The 22948-nt window shown below is 36.4% G+C and overlaps 1 protein-coding gene across 2 annotated transcripts in view, besides 1 other annotated feature; it reads left to right on the plus strand.

Moving 5' to 3' along the window:
• The window catches only part of STT3B (STT3 oligosaccharyltransferase complex catalytic subunit B), a 104692-nt gene extending 90573 nt beyond the window's left edge, over nt 1-14119 (plus strand). For both annotated transcript variants that reach the window (NM_178862.3, XM_017005858.2), the window contains exons 11-16: nt 177-364; nt 1417-1588; nt 2457-2630; nt 5801-5914; nt 9438-9650; nt 12487-14119. In NM_178862.3, coding sequence (NP_849193.1) covers nt 177-364; nt 1417-1588; nt 2457-2630; nt 5801-5914; nt 9438-9650; nt 12487-12567 — 942 coding nt within the window. In that variant the 3' untranslated portion in view covers nt 12568-14119. The remainder of the gene's footprint in view (nt 1-176; nt 365-1416; nt 1589-2456; nt 2631-5800; nt 5915-9437; nt 9651-12486) is intronic.
• Nucleotides 22451-22620: an enhancer, noted in NCBI's record as "experimental_69593 CRE fragment used in MPRA reporter constructs". NCBI's record gives its function as "activates a minimal promoter by MPRAs in K562 erythroleukemia cells, with activity observed for both the introgressed and non-introgressed 3:31687525 variant alleles {active_cell/tissue: K562}" and the evidence as "EXISTENCE:reporter gene assay evidence [ECO:0000049][PMID:34662402]".

Here is a 22948-nt window from a genome sequence, read left to right on the forward strand (position 1 = left end):
CACGTTTGACTTAGAAAACACTCCATCACCCACATAAGAATATCTGATGGTTATACATTTTCTGAGTCATAGAATTAAATTGATAGATAAACAGTCTCTCAACTTTTTCCATTGAGTATCTTAATGAAGCAAGTCAAATAATGAATTTGTCTAACCAATTTTTTTAATATCTTTAGGCAGGTAAAGTGAGGAAACATGCAACTGAACAGGAAAAAACTGAAGAGGGATTAGGCCCTAATATAAAAAGCATTGTCACCATGTTGATGCTGATGCTATTGATGATGTTTGCTGTCCACTGTACCTGGGTCACAAGCAATGCCTACTCTAGTCCAAGTGTAGTCCTGGCCTCATACAATCATGATGGGTAAGAAAATAACTCGGATACAAAAACATTTTATACTTACACTTCTTTTTCGTTGTCTCAAAGGATATAATTAAAAAATAGAATGTTGTTTGTGAGATTCTGCATTTGCTTGTTTTTAATTTTTTATTTTAATTTTGGTAGGTACACAGTAAATACATAATTTTATGGGGTACATTCTATTTATGTCTTTTGATACAGGCATGTGTAATAATCACGTGTAAAATGGGGTTTCCATCCCCTCAACTATTTATCCTTTCAGTTACAAACGATCAAGTTACACTCTTAGTTATTTTTAAATGTATAATTAAATTATTTTTGACTGTAATCACACTGTGGTGTTCGTACCCGTTAACCATCCCCGTGCACTCTCCCCCGCCCCTGCCAGCCTCTGCCTTGTGCTCCTGTGAAGCTCTGTATTTGAATCTACCTTTCTTTGTCCTCTCCTCCACCTTGGTGCCATGGGTAGTAATCATTGTATTTCATGCTCTTTTCCAGAATATTTCTGCATGCATAATCATATACATTAGTTTTTCTCAAATGTGTGGTCTTTGTACACACAGCATCATCATTACCATGAAACTTGTTAGAAATGCAAATTCTTGACCTCACCCTAATGTTACAGAATTAGAAACCTGGGGCTGGGGCCTAGCAGTCTGTGGTTTAATAGACCTAGGTGATTCAGATGCAGCTAAAATGTAAGAACAGCTGATTTATGTATTGCCATGGCTTTCAACTACTCTTTCACTTGGGAGCTTATTAGGCTTGTACACTATTAGGCCCTACCCCAGAACTACTGAATCAGAATCGGCTTTTTTTTTTTTTTTTTAAATACAAGATATGCAGGTGGTTTGTGCACACACACATTAGTTTGAATAACACCAGTCTAGCTCTTCATTGTTTCACTTTTTTTTTTCTCATTGGTAGAGGCTTTTACTTAATAACTACCATCCTTAAAATCTGAAAGTATTCAGTGGTTTAATACCTCAAGATTTTAAGTTAGCCTCTTCACATTTGTGACATCTCATTTAAAAGAGTATTGTGATTCTTTTCAGCACCAGGAATATCTTAGATGATTTTAGAGAAGCTTACTTTTGGCTAAGGCAAAATACAGATGAACATGCACGAGTAATGTCTTGGTGGGATTATGGCTATCAGATAGCTGGAATGGCTAATAGAACTACGTTGGTGGATAATAACACCTGGAATAACAGCCACATAGCACTGGTAAGGATTTACTAAATACAAGGTTAAAAAATCTTTATTCACTCCTTAGCAATCAGGCTTCACTTGTGACTAAATAGGAAAAATGTGGGTGAAAAGTACTCTGCTGAATTCTCAAAATACTTTTTTACACATATGTTCAATAAAGTGAGTTCAAGGTGTGCTTATTTTGTTTTTAAGAATGATACTAAGTATCATTCAGAATTGCAGGCTGATTTCTGGTAGATTTTATGATAAATTTAGCTTACTGAAGAATTAGACAAAATCTGAAACTTAAAATGTTTGGCTTGTATTTTTCGTGTTATAAACTAAAAATTATTTGCAAATATGTAAAGTAAATGCACTGTATTTTATGGATAGGCAAACTGTTCCTCTAGCTATTAAACAACTAATCTGCATAGATTAATGTAATCCCCTCTTTGTACTTCAAAGATTTTTAAATACAAAGAGTAGTCTTAACCAAATGAATTCTATTTGTATTACTGTTGTAGCTAATTATCAGATGCATGCTAGACTGGGGAGAAGAAATGTATGTGCTAGCAAGATCACTGGCCAGCCCTGGCCTGCGGTTGTGAGAAGTTGTTTTTTCTAAGCTTGCCTGCTTTCATCATAAAATGTTAATGTTATAGAACTTAATTATTAGCAAAATATTAGAGCATGTATTCTGATTTTTGACTGTAAATTAGTTATAGTAGTTGAGAGGTTCATAAATTCCAATGCATTTGTTGAATTCATAGTAAATCATTTCTGCAAAAAAATTCCATGTAAAACAAACTCTTGATGAATTCCATGTTGTAGTAAAAAATATACATTGATTTTTATGAATGTGGGAATAATCAAAAACATTCTCATTTTTTTTTAAATTCTGCAGGTGGGAAAAGCTATGTCTTCTAATGAAACAGCAGCCTATAAAATCATGAGGACTCTAGATGTAGATTATGTTTTGGTTATTTTTGGAGGGGTTATTGGCTATTCTGGTGATGATATCAACAAATTTCTCTGGATGGTTAGGATAGCTGAAGGAGAACATCCCAAAGACATTCGGGTAAGAAACTAGATAATTCCAGGTATGTGAAAGATAGCTCACTGTGTCCTCGTAATTCTCTCATCTTGCTAATTGCATTGTATTTGTTTCATCATCCTATCCCTCAGATTAGTTCCTTACCCTGGCTTTACTATTTATTAAAGATAGTAGAGGCATTTCCTATATTAAAACTTTTTGAAGTCAAAATGGAACTAATATACCATTCTTCCCTATGAAGCAGTCCCTTGCCAAGACTTCTTACTTTTACGTCTCTTCACAGCCTCTCATGTCATCCCTTTCTTTCCATTTCCATTGCTTCCACTCTAGTACTTACCCTTATGCTTGTAAACCTGAAATAGGATAGTAACCTTGAAATTGCTATCTTTGCCTTGTTTCCTCCCTCCCAGTGTAAGATAAAATTGATCGTGTTACTTTTAGGCTCAAAAGACTTCAATAGATTAAGGGAAAGGGTCTTAAAACCATATAGACATGAGTTAAAACTAAAACTGTCAACTTGGGCAAGTTATTTTAGCAAGTCAACATAATATGCTTTGAGCACTAGGTCTAGTTCTAGGATCTGGAATTAAAATGGTGACCGAGGCCGACTAGGTTATCTTTTGCCAAAAATAACTAATTTATAGTGCCGTTTAATGAGAATTTATAGTAAAGTAGTTGAAGCCCCAGCCTAGGGACTGGTACAAAATAGATAACCTCTGATAAAACATTAGTATAAAGTGTAAACTCTTTAGCTTGGAATGTAAGCCTCTTTATGTTTTGCCTTCCTTTGCTGGTGTCTTGTTCTTCTGCCACCTTTGTCTACTCTGCCAGTATGTTCTAGCCCCTGAAACTTGCTTGTGCTTTCTTTCCTTGACTCACCTGACACGTGTGTTTTTACTGTTCTCTTTCCTGGAATACCTTCCCTACCACAGACTTGCCCCCTCTCCAAAAGCCCTTTTCTGGTATACTCACATCTGTACTCATCACCAAATTATTTATACCTGTTTTGCAGGAGTCCCCAGACCCCAGGCAGCGGACCAGCACTGGTCCGTGGCCTGTTAGGAACCAGGCCACATAGCAGGAGGTAAGGGGCAGGTGAGCGATCATTGCCGCCTGAGCTCCGCCTCCTATCAGACCAGCGGCAGCATTAGATTTTCATAGGAGTACAAACCCTATCGTGAACTGCGCATGCAGGGGATCTAGGTTGCATGTTCCTTATGAGAATCTAACTAATGCCTGTTGATCTGAGGGGGAACAGTTTCATCTAGAAACCAGCAGCCCTCCGCCATCCGTGGAAAAATTGTCTTCCACGAAACTGGTCTCTGGTGCCAAAAAGGTTGGGAACCACTGCTTTTTTGTATTAGATTGTGTCTTACCTCTTTCACTAAATTGTGAGCTTTTAGAAGATGGACATCCAGCATTGTGCTTTTACATGATGAAGGCACAAAAGATAAGAGTAATTGCCACTGATCCAGAATAAAGGAATCTTTTGGGAAAAATGTATGCAGGTGTCGTGTGATGCAGATGAAGTAAAGCCTCAGATTTCCTGGTCAAATGTCAATGCTGTAATGTTTCCCTTAACTGTGATTAGTAAACATTATTTTTTTGTATTAATCTTCTGAAATTTAATTCTCCCAGTATGGTTTTTATTTGTGGATTTGCTTTAGCAGTCAGTGTTAAAACTGTGACATGTGATAGATCACTGTTTCTAAATGTATGCTTTGAACATTAATATTACAGAAGTCCTAAATTTCTGTGCATCTTAAATTATTTTTAAACTTTGTGAATAGATAATACACTCATATGGTTCAAAAGTAAAGTATAAGAGGATATACAATAAATGTCTACCCCCTTCACGTGATTCAAAAATAAAGTATAAGAGGATATACAAAAAAGTCTACCCCCCCTAAAAAAAAAAAAGTTCCTCTATAGGTAATAACAATGTATTGTGTACTTGTAAGTTGCTAAGAGAGTAGATATTTCAGTGTTCTCACTACAACAAAATAAGTATGATTGATGCATATGTTAATTAGATCGATGTAGCCATTTCACAGTGCATATTTCAAAACATGGTGTACACCATAAATATACACAAATTTATGTGTCAGTTAAAAATGGGGGGGCGGGCGGGCGGTGGAGTCCCTGGTAATCACTGGTTATTTTCTTGTGATTCTTAACTTCTAGCAAGTTATATACCCTGTTCACTTCATAATATGTCTTGGTGATTTTTCCATGTTAGAATATGGAGAACTTCTTTATTCCTTTGTTTACATTTGCACAGTACGTTGCATTTTTTGTGTGTGTGCATGATTTATTTAACCTGTCACCATTGATGGAATTTAGATTGTTTCCAGTATTTTAGTTTTATAAACAATGGCATAATAACTTTCTGCATTCATTATTTTGGCCATATACAAGTATCTCTGTAGCGTTAATTCCTGGAAAAGGAATTTCTGACTCAGAAATTACATTTTTTACCTAGAGTGCCAAAATTGTTCCTCATAGAGGTTAATTTATAAGTTAACCCCATAAAAATTACCACAGGAGTCTTTTTAACATTGTCCTCCCCAAATAAAGCCGATTTTAAAGTTCATGTGGAAAAATTTAGCTAGAACACTTAAGAAAACTCTGAAAAGGAGTAACGGAGATGAGGATGGGTAATTGAGAGAGCCAGCCTTACCTGGTATTAAGCCATGGTGTTGGTACCAGTCTCTTTAAATTATGAAAGTGGCTATGTGCAGTGGCTCAAGTCTGTAATCCTAGCATTTTGGGAGGCCAATCACTTCAGCCCAGTAGTTCAAGACCAGCCTGGACAACATGGTGAAACCCTGTCTCTACAAAAAAATGCAAAAATTATTTGGGCGTGGTGCCGTGGGCCTGTAGTCCCAGCTACTTGAGAGGCTGAAATGGGAGGATTGCTTGAGCCCAGGAGGTTGAGGCTGCAGTGAGCCACAGTCACGCCACTGCACTCCAGCCTCGAGGACAGAACGAGACATTGTCTCAAAAATAATAATTATTAAGGCCTTATAACATGGTTCGAAGTCTGGTGGGATTAATTTTTTTGAGGTGTAACTGAATATGGCTTTATAAAGATACCTCAGAAGCTTATTCTTACAGGGAAATGAAAAGAGGAAACTGTAGCTTTGAATATGTTAACTTGAACTAACATAGAACTTGTGGTTTCTTTCTTGTAGGAAAGTGACTATTTTACCCCACAGGGAGAATTCCGTGTAGACAAAGCAGGATCCCCTACTTTGTTGAATTGCCTTATGTATAAAATGTCATACTACAGATTTGGAGAAATGCAGGTTAGTTAAATCCATTTTTCTCTAATTTTCATTCAAAATAATGTTTAAAACAAGTCTTATTTGCCTCTAGAAAACAGGATAATGATATTTTGATTGTGCTGAAGAGAAATGTGCTTATCTAAATAGTCTTTTTTTCATTAAATTTAGATTTCTGAAACTAATATGTGAGAAATTAGAAAATAAAATTTTAGATCAAGGACTTCTTTCTAACATATTTATTAACAGTAGCCTCAAATCCAATCTTTGCTTGCCATCTCACCATTAGAACTCATGCTTTTGGAAAGTATTGTTCTCCAAGAAGAGTTCTCCTAGCTAGGAAACAGTGTGGTGTCTTAGGTCACTTTGCTGCTTGGTGGAGAAAAGCTTAAAATTAAAGATTCGAAGTAAATAGTCACTTCAGATGTTCACTCTCTCCCCATTCTCCGTTACCACAAATAGCTAGAGCTGCCTGGGTCAGAGTTTTCTAGTATATTAGAATGATGTGGTACAAAAGCTTAAGGGTCTACAAAATGAGTGAATGTGCAAAGAGGCATTGTGGCAGAAAGAAGAAACAATGGACTTGATGTCATAACACCTGTGTTTTCGATCAGGTTCTGTCAAGTCATGTAACTCTCAGACAATTTGTATCTGCCTTGGATTCCACTTGGTTCTTTTCTTGTTTGTAAATAATGGGGCTTGGATTGATGACTTGATTTTTAAGGAAACCAGAATATGTCACCCCAAAATATGCCTCTTTGACATGAAAGTTAATTTTGAGCTGAAGGCAATTTAGAAGCAGCAAACAGAGAAAAAGTTCTATCTAACCTCTTTTCTGCCTAAAGGCAGAATATAAATTCTCCTTTACTGGAGACAACTCTAAGACTCTTATCAGCCCAGAGAAAGCACCAGAGGAATCTGCAAACAAAATTTACTCCATTAGTTTCTCCCATATATGTACCCTTCTACTAGTTTCTCCCATATATGTACCCTTCTACTTTCCCATCTTGAAGGCCTAAGACCACTATCCTTTGTCCTTTCTCCACAAATGTATTGTTCTTTGTTAAGCATGCTATAAAAGCCAGAGTTCTAAGCCACTGCTTTGAGTTCCTTTTCATTGAGGTTTCTCCTGCATAATGTGCGCCGAACGTCTTAATAAATTTGTTTTGCTCTTGTTAATCTGTCCTTTGTTATAAGTGTCTGTCCCAAATTTTTATCTTCATACTATTAGTTTCACTGAAAACTGCTTATTTCTGTATTGCTCTCTGGTTAAGTTGGTAAGAAAGCAGAGGAAAAATTGCTTGCTTAATTTTATACTATCACTGGGGATCAAGATAACTATCAAAACTAAAGGGGTGTGTTTGGACCTCAATTTGTGAATCAAGTTTTACCGTGTTTTTTTGTGGTGTTTTTTTTGTTTTTTTTTTGAGAGGGAGTCTCGCTCTGTCGCCCAGGCTGGAGTACAGTGGTGTGATCTCGGCTCACTGCAAGCTTCGCCTCCCAGGTTCATGCCATTCTCCTGCCTCAGCCTCCCGAGTAGCTGAGACTGCAGGCGGCTGCCACCACACCTGGCTAATTGTTTGTATTTTTAGTGGAGATGGGGTTTCACTATATTAGCCAGGATGGTCTCGATCTGACCTCGTGATCCCCCTGCCTTGGCCTCCCAAAGTGCTGGGATTACAGGCATGAGCCACCGCGCCCAGCCCCAAGTTTTATCCTTTTCTAAAACACCATCTTTGTGGCTAATATGGACTAGAATATTCACTTGGTTTCAGAATAGTTAGCATATACTGTGTTCCTGTTTGTTGTGTTGCTTCAAGTAATTCCAAGTGAATCATATTTTATCATTATTCACTTGGAATTACTCTGTAGATGACTTAAAAAACAGCAGGTGATAATCTAGATTTAGGTTTTTGTTTGTGTTTATAATTTCTTTTGAAGGCCACACTTGGTCTTTAAACGCTTGCTAAGAAAGAAGCACACTGGCCATAATAATCAGTTACCCCAGAAAACATATTTTCTGATTGGCTTGTTTCTGATTAGTTTCTCTGCTCACTACTGATCACGTTGAAGGACCTTTTTCTTCCTCTCTTTTAAGTTTATCAATAGTTTTAAGCCATGTTCCCAGCATACATTCATTTTGATGCCTACCTTACTCAAGAATAATATATGGTTAAAATATGAAGTGTAACTTTTGCTATCATATAGATAAGCAAGAACAAGTAATTCACTATTTGAAGGAGAGCTGGTTTTCATGTTTGTTTTAAAGTTGAGTTTGGCCAGGCCTGGTGGCTCACACCTGTAATCCCAGAACTTTGGGAGGTTAGGTGGGAGGATTGCTTCAGCCCAGGAGTTCGAGACTAGCCTGGCCAAGATGGCGAAACCCAGTCTCTGTTTAAAAAAAAAAAATGGAAAAAAAAGTTGAATTTACTTATGCTAGATTTGTATGTCAACATAAACTTAGTCTGAGCATTTTTTTTTTCCCCGAGACAGGATCTCACTCTGTGGCCCATACTGGAGTACAGTGGTGCAATCATGGTTCACTGCAGTGTTGACCTCCTGGGCTCAGTTGATCCTCCCACCTCAGCCTCCTGAGTAGCTGGGACTACAGGCACATACCACCACGTCCAGTTAATTTTTGTATTTTTTGTAGAGACAAGATCTTGCTATGTTGCCCAGGCTGGTCTTGAACTCCTGGGCTCAGGCCATCCTCCTGCCTCAGCCTCCCAAAGTACTGGGATTATAGGTGTGAGCCACCACATCAGGACGGTCTGAGAATTTCTTAAAGTCTCCTTCTCTCCCTATGTTTTCCCTTTTTATCCCTCATAAATCCTTTCACGGTTTGGTTTTTTTATTTGGCCTCCTTTGTAGTTCCCACTTTCAGAATGTAGTATCTCTTACTTGTGCATTTATTTAACAAATAATAATTGGGATATAAAGCTACACTTTGAATAAGACAAAGACATGTTTACATCCCAATCGAAGATACAGGTAATTTTTAGCGTTAAGTAAAGATGTTAATAATATATGTTATGGGGTAAAAGAACAAGATGCTATGAGGAAACAATAAAGGAGATTTGTCAGTCACTAATCTCAAGAAAATATTTCCCTGAAGGGGGTGGTAAAGGAGCTAGCCATGCAAAAGAGCTGAATGAAGAACACGCCAGGCAGAGAGGATAGATAGTGCAAGGCCCTGAAACAGAAAAGAAGCCCCTTGGGTGTGTTCTGTCTGTATACCTATAAAAAGGGCTTTGATAGATTTCATTTCTATGTTTTGGTGGGTTTTTTTTTTTTTTTTAATGCCTTTAGAATGCTCATTTACTCTAAGGATTTTGTGAAATTCTTACTCTGATGTACTTAGTTTCTCTCTTCCTGATTTTTTCCTGTCTAGTTAGCAATACATGAGAACTATTAAGGTAGATAGATTACTTGATTGTTTTCCTAGTTTAAAGGGAGAAGGTATTACTGTAATGATAACACTTACTGTCTTATAACACTGAATGTTTTCCAATATGGTTAACACCCAATAATAATGTCACTTTTGCAGCTGGATTTTCGTACACCCCCAGGTTTTGACCGAACACGTAATGCTGAGATTGGAAATAAGGACATTAAATTCAAACATTTGGAAGAAGCCTTTACATCAGAACACTGGCTTGTTAGGATATATAAAGTAAAAGCACCTGATAACAGGGAGACATTAGATCACAAACCTCGAGTCACCAACATTTTCCCAAAACAGAAGTATTTGTCAAAGAAGGTGGGTGCCAAGTGAAGGCATTAAAGGGTAACTTAAGGTGTGTTGGTTTGTATGAAAAAGAATTTCTGGAAATTGCAATAAATTTCCATCTGCCAGATTTATAAAGACTATGGCTTCTATATTAATACGAAGTAAATATCAGCCTAGCCTGCTAGGAGCATTCCTTTCAAACTGAGCACTTCAGATATCCCAAGCTGAGATTTTTCCAGAGGCCTTCTGGCTTTGGTTTGTGCTATTGCCATTAGTAAGACTTACTTGTAAAGTAAGATGTAGCTGTGGCCATCGCTTTCCAAACCTGTATGAAAGTAAAAATGCTAAATTCTCATCTTTTGAGCAGAGCAAATTTATATTGCATCTTCATGTTCCATTCTTAGTATGATGTTACTCTATTATTCATTGAATAAAGAATAGGTTTGGGTTGGGTGAGTCCTTCTGAAGCCCAAAAAAATCATTTATCTTAAGATAATTATTTTTTAATGTAATTGTGACAAAGCTTATAGGCAGGAATTATGAGACTACTGCAATTCTTTTCTAATATTATATAAGATATGAAGTATTTCATTGGGGGTCATTATTGCTCACTTAAGCCAAATAGATTATAATTTTTGCTATAAAAGATGGCTAAAAATTAGTATTTATATAGGTTGTCCAGCAGTAGGAAATGGGAAGTAATGAACAGTCAGATAAAATGTTAAGGTTCATTATAAGGTACTATCCTTATAATACTGATTATTATTAGACTGACTTTGAATCTCATTTTTTAAGGATGCTTAGGTTTACATAGCTCAGATCAGCTATCTTATATCATTGAAACAACTGTCTTAACTCTTTGTTACTTAAAATATACATCAAATATATTCAAAATACAGATGATTTTAATTTGTACTATAAAAGTGCTGAATATTAACGGTGTGATATGTAAATGGAAGCTTTTTATATGAATATGTGCCAGATGTAAATTACCATGTCTAGACTAATGTATTTAAAAATGTCACATAGAGCTGACATTCATTGTGTTAGTCATATGAAACTCATTATCTTTAGGTAAAATAACATTAAAAAATCAGATGATTGTCACAGGCATGAGGTAGGAGAAACTGGTGAGCAGCAAATGCTGCTATTCTCAAAGCAGTTACTCCTAAGATATCCAAGTATAACTAAGGTGTACTTTTTCTGCAAAAAGAGGGCTGTTGAACTTGTTGTCTGATGATATAGACCCCAAAGGCAGTGAATTTTCTTCATTTGACCCCTTTTCTCTTCCCATCATTTTCCCCAAATAAATGTGAATGGATAAATAAAACATAATCTGTCTTGTGTGCCCAAAACATATATTGTGGTGGCCAATAACATATTTTGACATTCTGGTTTCCATGGCTTTAGATGTTTTGTACTAACACTATGAAGGAATGCTTTTTATACTTCCCTTTCTCTATCCTGGTTTTGACTTTGGAGGAGGAGGGTATACATAACAGCATCCATTCTGAGAGTTTACCAGCCATCGCAAAGCCGGCATGACTAAGGCACTAGAAATTGTAGTCCAGGCTGCAGAAAAGGCTTTTTGGCACATGGTTCACTGCCAGTAGGAGAAAAGCACCCTGAGGGCTATTACACACTTGGATATTCCTGGGGCACATCATAAGATCTCATAGAAAAAGTATCCTGTTAGAATCTGGATGTAATTATAATAAAGAAACTACTAGATCTGGTTTGAATTTTTAAAAATTGTACCCTCTGAAGTTTCTTACTTTGTGCCTTAATAACATCAGTTTAACAATAAGGTAATATAATGGGGTTAACAAGTTAGCAGTAGCTAATTTTTAGTACCTTAAGAAGGATTGCATTTTGCCTTGTGTTCTCATCCCTGTTAGAAACTACTATAAATTATCTTGAATTGAACATCATGGATAAAGGAACATGATGCAGGATTTACCCAGTTTCTGAAACCTCTGAGAGTTGTATTTAAATGTGAAAATTGAATTGAGTGGTCAGTCTCTTGAGTCTTCTGCCTCTGTTAACCCAGAGCTTTGATGGTGCATTAAATTACTTAGTTTCAAAAAATATTTGCTGTCTTCAATATCTAGGGCTGTGTGTCAGATTGAAAGACATATGTGCCTATAATTTATCCTGTGGGGTTCTAACATAAATATTTTAGCAGTAATTTGTACCACTGCATTTCCGGTAATTTGTTTCTAATACTAGGAAACGTCTATTGAAAGTATTTTAGTGGGATACTGAATTGTTAAGAAAAATATTTTATTTTTAAAAGATGTATGAAACTGAAGGAATATTGTTTTGCTTTACATTTTCAATTGCTTATTTTCCTACCTAAAGGATTATTTTTAGAGAATGTGCCAAGTGATTATATCTCTCATTTTTGTAGATGGTTACAGTCATCCTCATTTTACAGAAAACAGGGACTCTAAGAGTTACTAAGTTAACGTGTTTTTCTGGCACACACCTAATTTCCTGGAGGCTAAATCAGGAGCAGCATTACCATTTCTGATTCCTTAGTCTAGTGTTACATATTCTGTCTTGCCTGGAAATTTTAATAATTACAGCTCAGCACTTTGTGGTTGAGAAGAGGGCTGAAGATTCATTCACTTGATGGTGAGGATGTCTAGGAACCTAGTCCTTTCACTTTGAATGTGTTAGTGTACTCAGGTAAGAAACACCACTAACAGTTTAGTGGTGTTCACTGAACTATTCAAGGAATCCAGTCACAAGAAGAGCAGAGAGCTTACTAAGTCATCATAGTTCAGTAAACCATGTGTGTGTTTATAGATTTTTTAATCAGTAAGAAACCTGCATTAATACTATGTGTTTTGTTTTTTTATAGACTACCAAAAGGAAGCGTGGCTACATTAAAAATAAGCTGGTTTTTAAGAAAGGCAAGAAAATATCTAAGAAGACTGTTTAAATGCACTGTTCTGGTTCCTAACTTGAAGCAGTTGTCCTTGTGAGAACCGGTCTTTGCCTTTAGCTCATGTCGTGTTTCACAGCAAAGAGGGTACAGAACCATCACTGGTCCAGGTTAATGTACAAAATTTTCTGGCAATGCCTGATTAAAAAAATAAAATTGGCTTGTTGAGAACAGCTGTTTTCGATTTCTAATGTGAAGCAAGACAGAGCACTGCTGTAAATGTCTAGCAGCAGATTTTTTTTTTATTGGTACATATTATCCTTCAAATCTGAGAATTTGGACTAACTGCACCAAAGAACCCTCTAATTTGGTCCCTGGCACATGCATACTTGTCAATGTTTTTATTCTTTTACAAGACCTGCATTTTATTTGAATTACCCGAATAGCAATATGTAAAATACAAGTGACAAAATGTGATGAGAGCTTCTTGAACCGGTAAACTAGTACAGGTCTGAGAAAGACATATTAGAAGAATCATTATACTTCCTTGAATTATATTTATTTTCATGTTTCTCTAATGCAAAGAATGTTTCATCAAATGTATATTTTCTGTTGCTTACTGTTTGCTCTGAGAAGAAGCTGCTGTTTCAAAGATGGACCTCTGAGTAGCTAATTGATTCAAGTAGTTTTTTTATGTTGACACATTATTACTGCTGTTAGCAGTCGTTTTCACCAGGTACTTACAGAGCAGATTTCATACATCATTCATTCAAGGGCTAAATTTATATTTTTTGGAAATCATGGCAACTACACAGGATGTTGCTTACCAGGACGGAGTTTTGGTATCTTAGTACTGAAGTTAGCACTATGTTTACATGCAAAAGATTAAGGAAAAAACCCTTAAAGTGGACAGGTATCCAAAGTTCATTTTCTGTGACTCATCAAAGTGACAAAAGACTTGTAACAACTTTGCCTGGACTTTTTTCATTTTACAACAGTTCATCCATTCACAATGATTTTGTTCTCTGCTCCATATTTTTTAATCCCTTAAGCATTTGATGAAACACTCTTTAGTGCTATATGCATTTTCTTACTTTTGTTAAAAATGTGACAGTTGTCAAAAAATGCACTAAAATGTAAATGGAGATTGAACAAGTTCACTTTCCAGCTTATAGGCAACTTTATACAGACTTGAACATTTTCTCCAGTTGTTTAGTAAAAGTGAAAGAGAAAGGGTTTTTCCTGCCACAGGATATAACTTTTTTTTATATAACAAGCATAACACACCACTGCTTTTGGTGGAAAAGTGCAGAATAGTATGTACCTTTTATGAAGAAAAATGTAATTTACAATATTCAGTGAGAATGTTACTGCTGATTTTCTTTTCCAAGGTGTAGAATATTCTTTGATTTATAGAATTCATTTTTGACCCAGATGATGGTTCCTTTACAGAACAATAAAATGGCTGAACATTTTCACAAATAGAGTGTAACGAAGTCTGGATTTCTGATACCTTGTCATTTGGGGGATTTTATTTTACTTTGTTGCTTTAAAATTCAATGCAGAGAAGTTGTTGACTGTAGGGGAAATAAAGTTAATTCAAATTTTGTGTTAAGTGTTGTTTTTTACAAATCTTTTGGTTTTGAAAGGAATTGGTACTGAACACATACCTCCTTCTTCCTTGTTGACTTTCACAAAGGTTTTAAAGAAAATGTGTGGAAAAAAATACGTTAGATTATTTCATCTTAGACCAAGCTATTTTATTTGGCCTTCTTTTACCCTGGAATGAAAATCTCAGGTTTTTTTGTTTTTGTTTTTGTTTTTGTTTTTTGTTTTTTGTTTTGTTTTTGGAAGGGATTTGGGGAGGGGGAACACCTAGCCAACTAGGAATTTTATCTCTGTTTAATAAGGATAGGGACCTAACAAAACCATCCATGAAGTTCTGGTAATGAAATGTCAAGTCTCAGTATAGAATTTTCTCATTAGAAAAATCCCAAAGGAAAGACCCCTCACCTTTCTCAGGAAACAACATTTTGGTTCAGTGTATCTTGTCAGTAAAATACCATATTGTAACTGTTTGAGCACTTGTATTGTAGCACAAAAGTGAAATAGTAGTTTGAATACATTGGAATATAGGATAATTGACTTAAAATATTCTTTAGATCTCTTAATTCATTTCATGTGTGATCACTAACATTGTACACCAAAGGAACTTAAAGATCGTGGCCTTGAAGTTTTAGACTATAAAACAGCTTTTAGGCTGTAGTGCTCTGTAGTATAAATAAGGCAGTGAGGCAGCAACTCCAAAGAAAATTCCCTTTCAAGACTTACATTGTAACCTACTTGAGTTTATAGTTGTGGAGTTTTAATTCATTTGCATTCTAGGCCATGACCAAGTGACCAGAGGACTAAAATAGTATAAAAGCATCCTGTATTGAGTTTCCATAGCCAAGGGGGTGTAAGATCATGAAATTTGGAGCTGTTTCTCGTTTTTAAAAAATGAGTTGTAAAATACATATTAAATAAAATTTACCAACTTAACCATTTTGAAGTATACAGTTCAATAGTGAAGTACATTTACATTGTTGTGCTACCAGTCTCCAGAACTCTTTTCATCTTGCTGTAGCTGCTGCTGCTTAATGCTGGTTTTGCCATGTTGCCCATAGTCCTTAATCGAGATAGGTGGAGTAATGTTGAGCTCAACAGCTGTCTGCCATGGAAATAGTAGGAAATTGAGACAGACCAAAAACAGTAATGAAATGTCATGTCTTATTTTTATTGTGAAATGTAACACAAGAGAACACAAAAATGTACAGTTGACCCTTGAACAACATGAGTTGCACACATGGATTTTTTTTCAATAAATGTATTGAAAAATTTTGGCCAGGCATGGTGGCTCACGCCTGTAATCCCAGCACTTTGGGAGGCCGAGGTGGGCAGATCATTTGAGGTCAGGAGTTCGAGACCAGCCTGGCCAACATGGTATAACCCCATCTCTACTAAAATTAGAAAAATTAGCTGGGCGTGGTGGCAGGCTCCTGTAGTCCAGCTACTCTGGAAGCTGAGGCTGGAGAATAGCTTGAACCTGGGAGGCGGAGGTTGCAGTGAGCCGAGATCGTGCCACTGCACTGCAGCCTGGGCAACGGCGTGAGATGCTGTCTCAAAAAACCTATATAATTAATGTATTGAAACATTTTTGGAGATTTACAACAATTTGAAAAAAGCTTGCAAATGAACCGCATAGCCTAGAAATATTTTAAAAGTTAAGAAAAAGCTATGTGATTAATGCACAAAGTATATAGATAACTACTTTTTTGCTGTTGATTTGAGACAGTCTTGCTCCATCACTCAGGCTGGAGTGCAGTGACATGATCTTGGCTCACTGCAACCTCCACCTCCTGGGTTCAAGCGATTCTCATGCCTCAGCCTCCCAGGCAGCTGGGACTACAGGTGCCCACCACCATCTCTGGCTAATTTTTGTATATTTAGTAGAGATGGGGTTTCACCACGTTGTCCATGCTCATCTCGAACTCCTGGCTTCAAGTGATCCACTTGTCACGAACTCCCAAAGTGCTGGGATTACAGGTGAGCCACTGCACCTGGCCTAGGTACTATTCTTTTATCATTTACTACCATAAAATATATACAAGTCTATCATATGTTAAAATTTATGAAAACTTAAGCTCACTACATGGCGCCATTCACAGTTGAGAAATGTAAACCAATGTAAAGCCATATTAAATCATAACTGCATAAAATACTGTTCTATAATATAGCCATCTGTTGCTACTATGAGCTCAAGTGTTGCTAGTATCCACTTAAAACACCATGTGTGACACTTATCACTGTTTTATAGCCTATTACTGGTTATGTTTTGGGGGACTCAAAAGTTTTATGTGAATTTTTGATTGGCAGTCATTGTTCAGGGGTCACCTTAGTGAATTAACTGCAAAGTGAGCAATTTTGTATCCGTGACACAGGTCAAGAGAACAGAACAGTGCCAGTACTCCAGAAGCTTCCTCATGACCCCTTGTGGTCACTATCCTGTCCCACTTCCCTCTCCAAAAGGTAATCATTATATTGGTCTTTATTGGTGCTTTGATTTATGGTTTTACCAATTCAGTATTTCTCTCTAAACATGTTGAGATGCATCTATTTGAACTATAGAAATGGAATAATAGAGTATGTATGATTTTTATCTGTCTTCTTTTGCCCACTATTTGTGAAATGCATCGAGGTTGTTGCTTGCAGCTACACGTTTTTTTTGTTTCATTGCTATATATAGTATTCCTTGTGTATGTCTGTAGCTGGCTCTCACACATATCCATTCTGTTGCTAAAGGGTATTTACATTGTTTCCAGTTTGAGGATATTACCAACAATGTTAGAGGAATACTCTTACATCTCCCTTGGTGCTTATATGCATGTATTTCTAAAAGTGGAATTGATGGTTACTTCCATATCCCAGTCAACCCCTGTCATCTTTTTAATTTTGCCTCTCTGGTGGGTGAATAATGATTTGTCATGATGTTTAGTTTGATATTTCTAGGTTAATAAGGCTGGCCATTTAGAAATCTCCCTTTTATAAGGTGTTGGTTCTAATACATTTCTCCTGGTTTTTTAAAAATTTATTATGTTAATAGGAATTCTTTGTCTTGTATATAAGGCCTTCATTTGTGTTGCAAATTGCCTAGGAATTAATAATTTTAATATAGTCTATTTCCATCTCTTGTATACCTATACAAAATCTTTTCCTCACTTGAAGCCATGATGATAGTCTGCTGTGTTTTCCAGAAAATGTATTGTTCTACTTTTTATACTTAGCTTTGCAGTCCACCTATAATTCATTTGTTGAGCACAATGTGAATTGTTTTTCTTTTAAGGGGTTTTATTGGCATATGTATATCTAAGTGACCCAGCACCATTTATTGAAAAGACAGTTCATTTCCTACAGCTCTTCAGTATCCCTTTTGTAGTAAATCATATGTCCATATATGCATCTATTTCTAGACCCTCTGTTATATTCCACAGAGCTCTGTGTATGTTGACTTAATATATAGCTTTAAGATAATTCAGAAAATATGGTAGAGTAAGTCCATCTGTCCCTCCATTGTTCCTTAATTTGCCTTGCTTTTTCATACAAATTGTAGAATCAGGTTAAGTTTCACCAAAAAACAAAAAAAAAACCCTGTTGAGCTTTTGATTTGGCAGTGAATATATAGATCATTTGGGGAAAATGAACACCATTGAAATATTGAGTCTTGTGTCCATGAGTGTGGCATATCCTTCCATTTATGCAGGCGTTTAGTTTCTGTTTTATTGCTTTTGAAGACCTTGCGCATTTTCATAACTTTGATTCCAAGGTATATGTTATTTTTAATACTATCATAAAATTAGATTTTCTATTTCTCAGCATATAAAAATACTTGATTTTTATACGTTGAAATTACTAAACTTATTCTAACAATTCCAATTTTTTTTGTTGTGAACATCATAACTTGGGAATAATGACAATTTTACTTCTCCCTTTCTAATCATTATATATTTATATTTCTTGCTTTGCTGCACTGGCTAGGACACACACCCAGTATAGTACTGCAAAGAAAAGGCAACATCTTGCTTTCTTCTCTCACAGCGAAAGCTTTTGACATTTCACCCTTTAAGTTTGCTGTATATTTTCTATAGATATCTCTGATCAGATTAAGGATGTTACTGTTTGCTGTGAGTTTTTTAATCATGAATAGGTTTTGTTTCTCAAGTAGTTTTTTCCTTCATTCATTGAGATGATGCTGATTTTTCTCCTTTAATGTGGTACACGAATTACAGAAACTTTGTTCACAATGTTAAATTAAATGAAACTTGTATTCCTGGAATAGTGATTTATGCTTGGTGAAATTTACTGGTGAAACCATTTGGGCCTGGAGTTCTTTTGCAAATGCTTTTAATTACAGATTATGTTTCACAGATACAGGATTATTTCAGTTTTTTACTCCTTGTTTCCATTTTGGTGAGTTATTTTCAAGGAATTCATCTAAATTTTCAATTCGGTTAAAGTAAAATTGTTGAAAATATCACTTAATTGTTTTAATGTCTGCAGCTTCTATTGGTGTTCCTTTTTAATTATAGATATTTCATTTTTCCCCCTTGAATTCATACTTCTTTCCCCCCACCTCTGCCATACACTTTTTTCCCCTGATTTTCCTTGGCAGGTTTTGTTTTTTTTTTTTTCTTTACATCAATTTTGTTAGCTGTTTTTTTTTTTTCTTTCAAAGACCAGCTCCTCACTTTAGTGCTTTCTACAGTGTTAGTTCATTATTTTGTGCCATTTCCTTGGGGTGGGCGGAGGGTCATATTCTTTTAAACTTGGTGTGGTGATTTTTTCTTTCCTAATATATTGTTACAGATTTACTCCGAGCATAATTTAGCCTCCATTCTCACAGGTTTTGAGGTGACTAAATGTCATTAAGTTAAATGTATATTTAATTTCCATTGTACTTCTTTTTTAAGACCATGAGTTATTTACATGTACTTTCTAAAAATTTCCAAATATGGTGGTTTTCTAATATCCTTTTATTATCAACTTCTACCGTTGTTGAATTGTAGTCAGATACTCTATAATTTTAATCCTTTGCAATTGGTTGAGGCTTGCTCTGTGACTCAACTTATGGCCAGTTTATAAACATATAGATTATTATTATATTTTGCCAATGAAACATAGTGTCAAATGAGCACACGGTGCTTTCAGAGACATAAGTAAATGTTTTTTGAATTTTTGGTTTTTGGTTTTTTTTTTTTTTTTGAGATGACGTTTTGCTCTTGTTGCCCAGGCTGGAGTGCAATGGTGTGATCTCAGCTCACTGCAACCTCTGCCTTCTGGGTTCAAGCAATTCTCCTGCCTCAGCCTCCTGAGTAGCTGGGATTACAGGCGCCCTCCACCATGCCTGGCTAATTTTTTGTATTTTTAGTAGAGATGGGGTTTCGCCATGTTGGCCAGGCTGGTCTCAAACTCCTGACCTTCAGGTGATCCACCCGCCTCGGCCTCCTAAAGTGCTAGAATTACAGGTGTGAGCCACTGTGCCCAGCTGAATATAAATATTTTACATATATATAATTTTTCTCCTTATGTCCCTGAAAACAATGTCTGTTCTTTTGACAATTCTTGGGCATACTGTTTGAATCTTTTGTGGCTATTTTGTTATTTACTGAGAAGAATGTACTGAAATCACACACGATTATAATAGATTGTGTATTTCTCCTTGAATTATGAATTTATTTCTTTATATGTTTTGATTCCATATTAATAAGTTTATACACATTTGGAGCCTGTATCTTATTGGTAAATTGAGCTTTCAGCTTTTTAGAAATGTCAATCTTTAATAAGATTTTTTGTTAAAAGCCTATTTTTTTTCTGATGAATAATAGCATTATGTCAACATTGTTATGGTGTTCACATAATGTATGTTTTTTATTCTTCTAATACATCCCACTTTGGATTTGTTGAGCTTTTAACTTTGTGACTTGTTGGTTTTCATCAGGTTTTTTTGAAGTTCTCATTATCTCTTTAAATGTTCCTTCTTCCCCTATTCTTAGTACTTTCCTTCTGAGAGTCCAGTTAAACATAATTAGACCTTCTTACTCCTAATTTCTCTGTCCTCTCCCTTCTCTCTTCTTTTGCCTCTCCGTTCACTCCTTAAGTCAGCCATGTCTCTTTTTATACTTTACACCTGATCCACTGAAATTCCCAATCTTATCACTGTTTAACATAGCATAGTTTTCAATGCTGTGTTAAATGCTATGTATTGTATCTGATAAATCCATTATCTAGAGCTCTTGTGGGTCTTGTTTCTATGGCATAGTGGGTCTTTTTTTCTGCTGCTTGTTGTTCCTGTGGTCTTCTTACGGGCATGGGTTTGTGTTTTAGACATTATATTTAAGAAATTGTATGAGTCAGTTTAGGCCTAAGGTGGTGGTTTACTTCACAGGAATTTTTATTTATTTATTTATTTATTTTGAGTCAGGGTCTGTCACTCAGGCTGGAATGCAGTGGTTTGACACTATAGCCTCAAACTCCTACATTTCAATGATCCTTCCATCTCAGCCTCCTGAGTAGCTTGGATTACAGGTATGAGCCACCATGTTCAGCCCATGCTTTACAGATTTTCTTTTGTTTTTGCCGGGTACCTAGGGGAACTAATAAACCAGAAACACCTTAATTCAATTTATGAAGGGATTAATATTATATAGGAAGCTAGCCTGCCATCCCCATAAGGGCTAGTTCATTATTTTCAGGCTGAAATTCTCTGAGGATTTCACCCAAGCAGATAGGAATATTTGTCCCCATAGTCCTACAAAGTCATTAAAAGTGGTATTCAACTCTGTCAATTTCCCAAGGGAAAATGGCCCCAAATGCCAAGCTTGCCTCAGAACTTGTCTTCTTGATTCTGGCCTGCTAATACTGTTTTGGTTCTGTTAAGTCTTGAAGCGGATATTGTTCAGCTTTTCTAATTGTTGTTAGCTGGGTAGTTGGTTAAAACTCCCTATTATTAGACATCCCTATTATTAAAATTGGAATTTAGCAATAAAATAATCTGTGATCCTTTGAATCACAGAACATATCTAATATTTAATGTTTCTTACATCTTCCCCACTATCTGTATAGTAACTAGACATTGCCAGTTCTAAGTGCCACCCAGAGACAGTCACAATCTCAATTTTACTTAGAAAAAACTCTCCAATAAAATGCTATATTTTCAATTTCTAAATCTTTTTGGGGGTTTTTTTTTTTTTTTTTTTTTTTTTGGACAGAGTGTCGCTGTTGCCAGGCTGGAGTGCTGTGGTGTGATCTCTGCTCACTCCAACCTCCGCCTCCCAGGTTCAAGCAATTCTCCTGCCTCAGTGGCCCAAGTAGCTGGAACTACATGTGCGTGCCACCACGCCCAGCTAATTTTTGTATTTTTAGTAGAGACAGGGTTTCACCATGTTGGCCAGGATGGTCTCGATCTTTTTTTTTTTTTTTGAGACAGAGTCTCGCTCTGTCGCCCAGGCTGGAGTGCAGTGGTGCGATCTCAGCTCACTGCAACCTCCGCCTCCTGGGTTCAAGCGATTCTCCTGCCTGAGCCTCCCAAGTAGCTGGGATTACAGGCACGTGCCACCAGCCACCACGCCTGGCTAATTTGTTTTGTATTTTTAGTAGAGAGGGGGTTTCACCATGTTGGTCAGGCTGGTCTCGAACTCCTGACCTGGTGATCCACCCGCCTCGGCCTGCCAAAGTGCTGGGATTACAGTCATGAGCTACTGCGGCCAGCCTCTATTTCTAAATCTTAAAAATAGCCTTAGCCAGGCATGGTGGCATGTGCCTGTAATCCTAGCTACTCAGGAGGCTAAGCTGGCAAGATTGCTTGAGCCCAGGACTTTAAGGTTGCAGTGAGCTATGATCACGCTACTGCACTCCAGCTTGGGGACACTGATTAAAATATCAAGTGTCTCCTATGAAACTGGCTTCAGTGAAAAGTGGAGCTAGTAAGACGAAAACTAAAGAAAGATCAAATGGCAGCCAGAGTGACTAATAACAGTATGTTCTCATAATCTCAGCATACTTAGTTGTTGAAACAAGCTAGATAGATAGATGATATATCATGTGTTCTTCCTTCCATAGACTAAGATTTACATGGACCAGAGCCCAGTCTGTATCCTGCTGAAGGAAATTTTTAAAAATGCTTTGATGGACTTAACTATTAATGAGAAAACTTCACTAACAAACATTCAAGAACGTGGGGACTAGTGTAGCTCTGTTACCTCCCTTTCCCCAAGGGAATATAAAAAGTAAAATAGAGACCTGTCAGTGGGCAAACCTAGTTCATATCTCCTTTTTCTAATATCAAGTTATCTCACATTTAGATCTATACTGTATTTTGAGTTGTTTTTGTATATGACTTTGAGGTGTTAGGGTTTTTTAATTCATTTGATCCAATGCCATTTGTTGAAAAGAGTGTTTGTTTTCCTCATTTAATTGGCACCTTTGTAGAAATCTGTTTAAAATGTTGGTTTATTTCTGGATTCTCTATTCTGTTCTATTGATATGTACGTGTCTTCTTACACCAATAGTGTACCATCTTGATTACTGTAGGTTTACCATAAGTTTGAAGTCTGGTAATGCAAGTTCTGTGCCTTTGTTCAATGGCCCCTTTAATTACCCTGGGACCACAGGCATGTACTGGATATCTTGGGCAAATGAAGATATATTGTCACCCAACCTGTAACTGACACAGGACTAATATCCAGAATATATAAAGAACTCTTAGGAAAACAAAATATTTTTATTAGCCCTTAACAGAAGAAAAACCCAAATGGCAAATAAATACATGAAAATGAACATACTGTCCACCAGATTGGCTAATTGGAGAAGGTATGCATAAATGAGCTCCCATATATTGCTGGTA

Source organism: Homo sapiens, chromosome 3, assembly GCF_000001405.40.
Source record: "Homo sapiens chromosome 3, GRCh38.p14 Primary Assembly".
NCBI classification, from domain to species: Eukaryota; Metazoa; Chordata; class Mammalia; order Primates; family Hominidae; genus Homo; species Homo sapiens.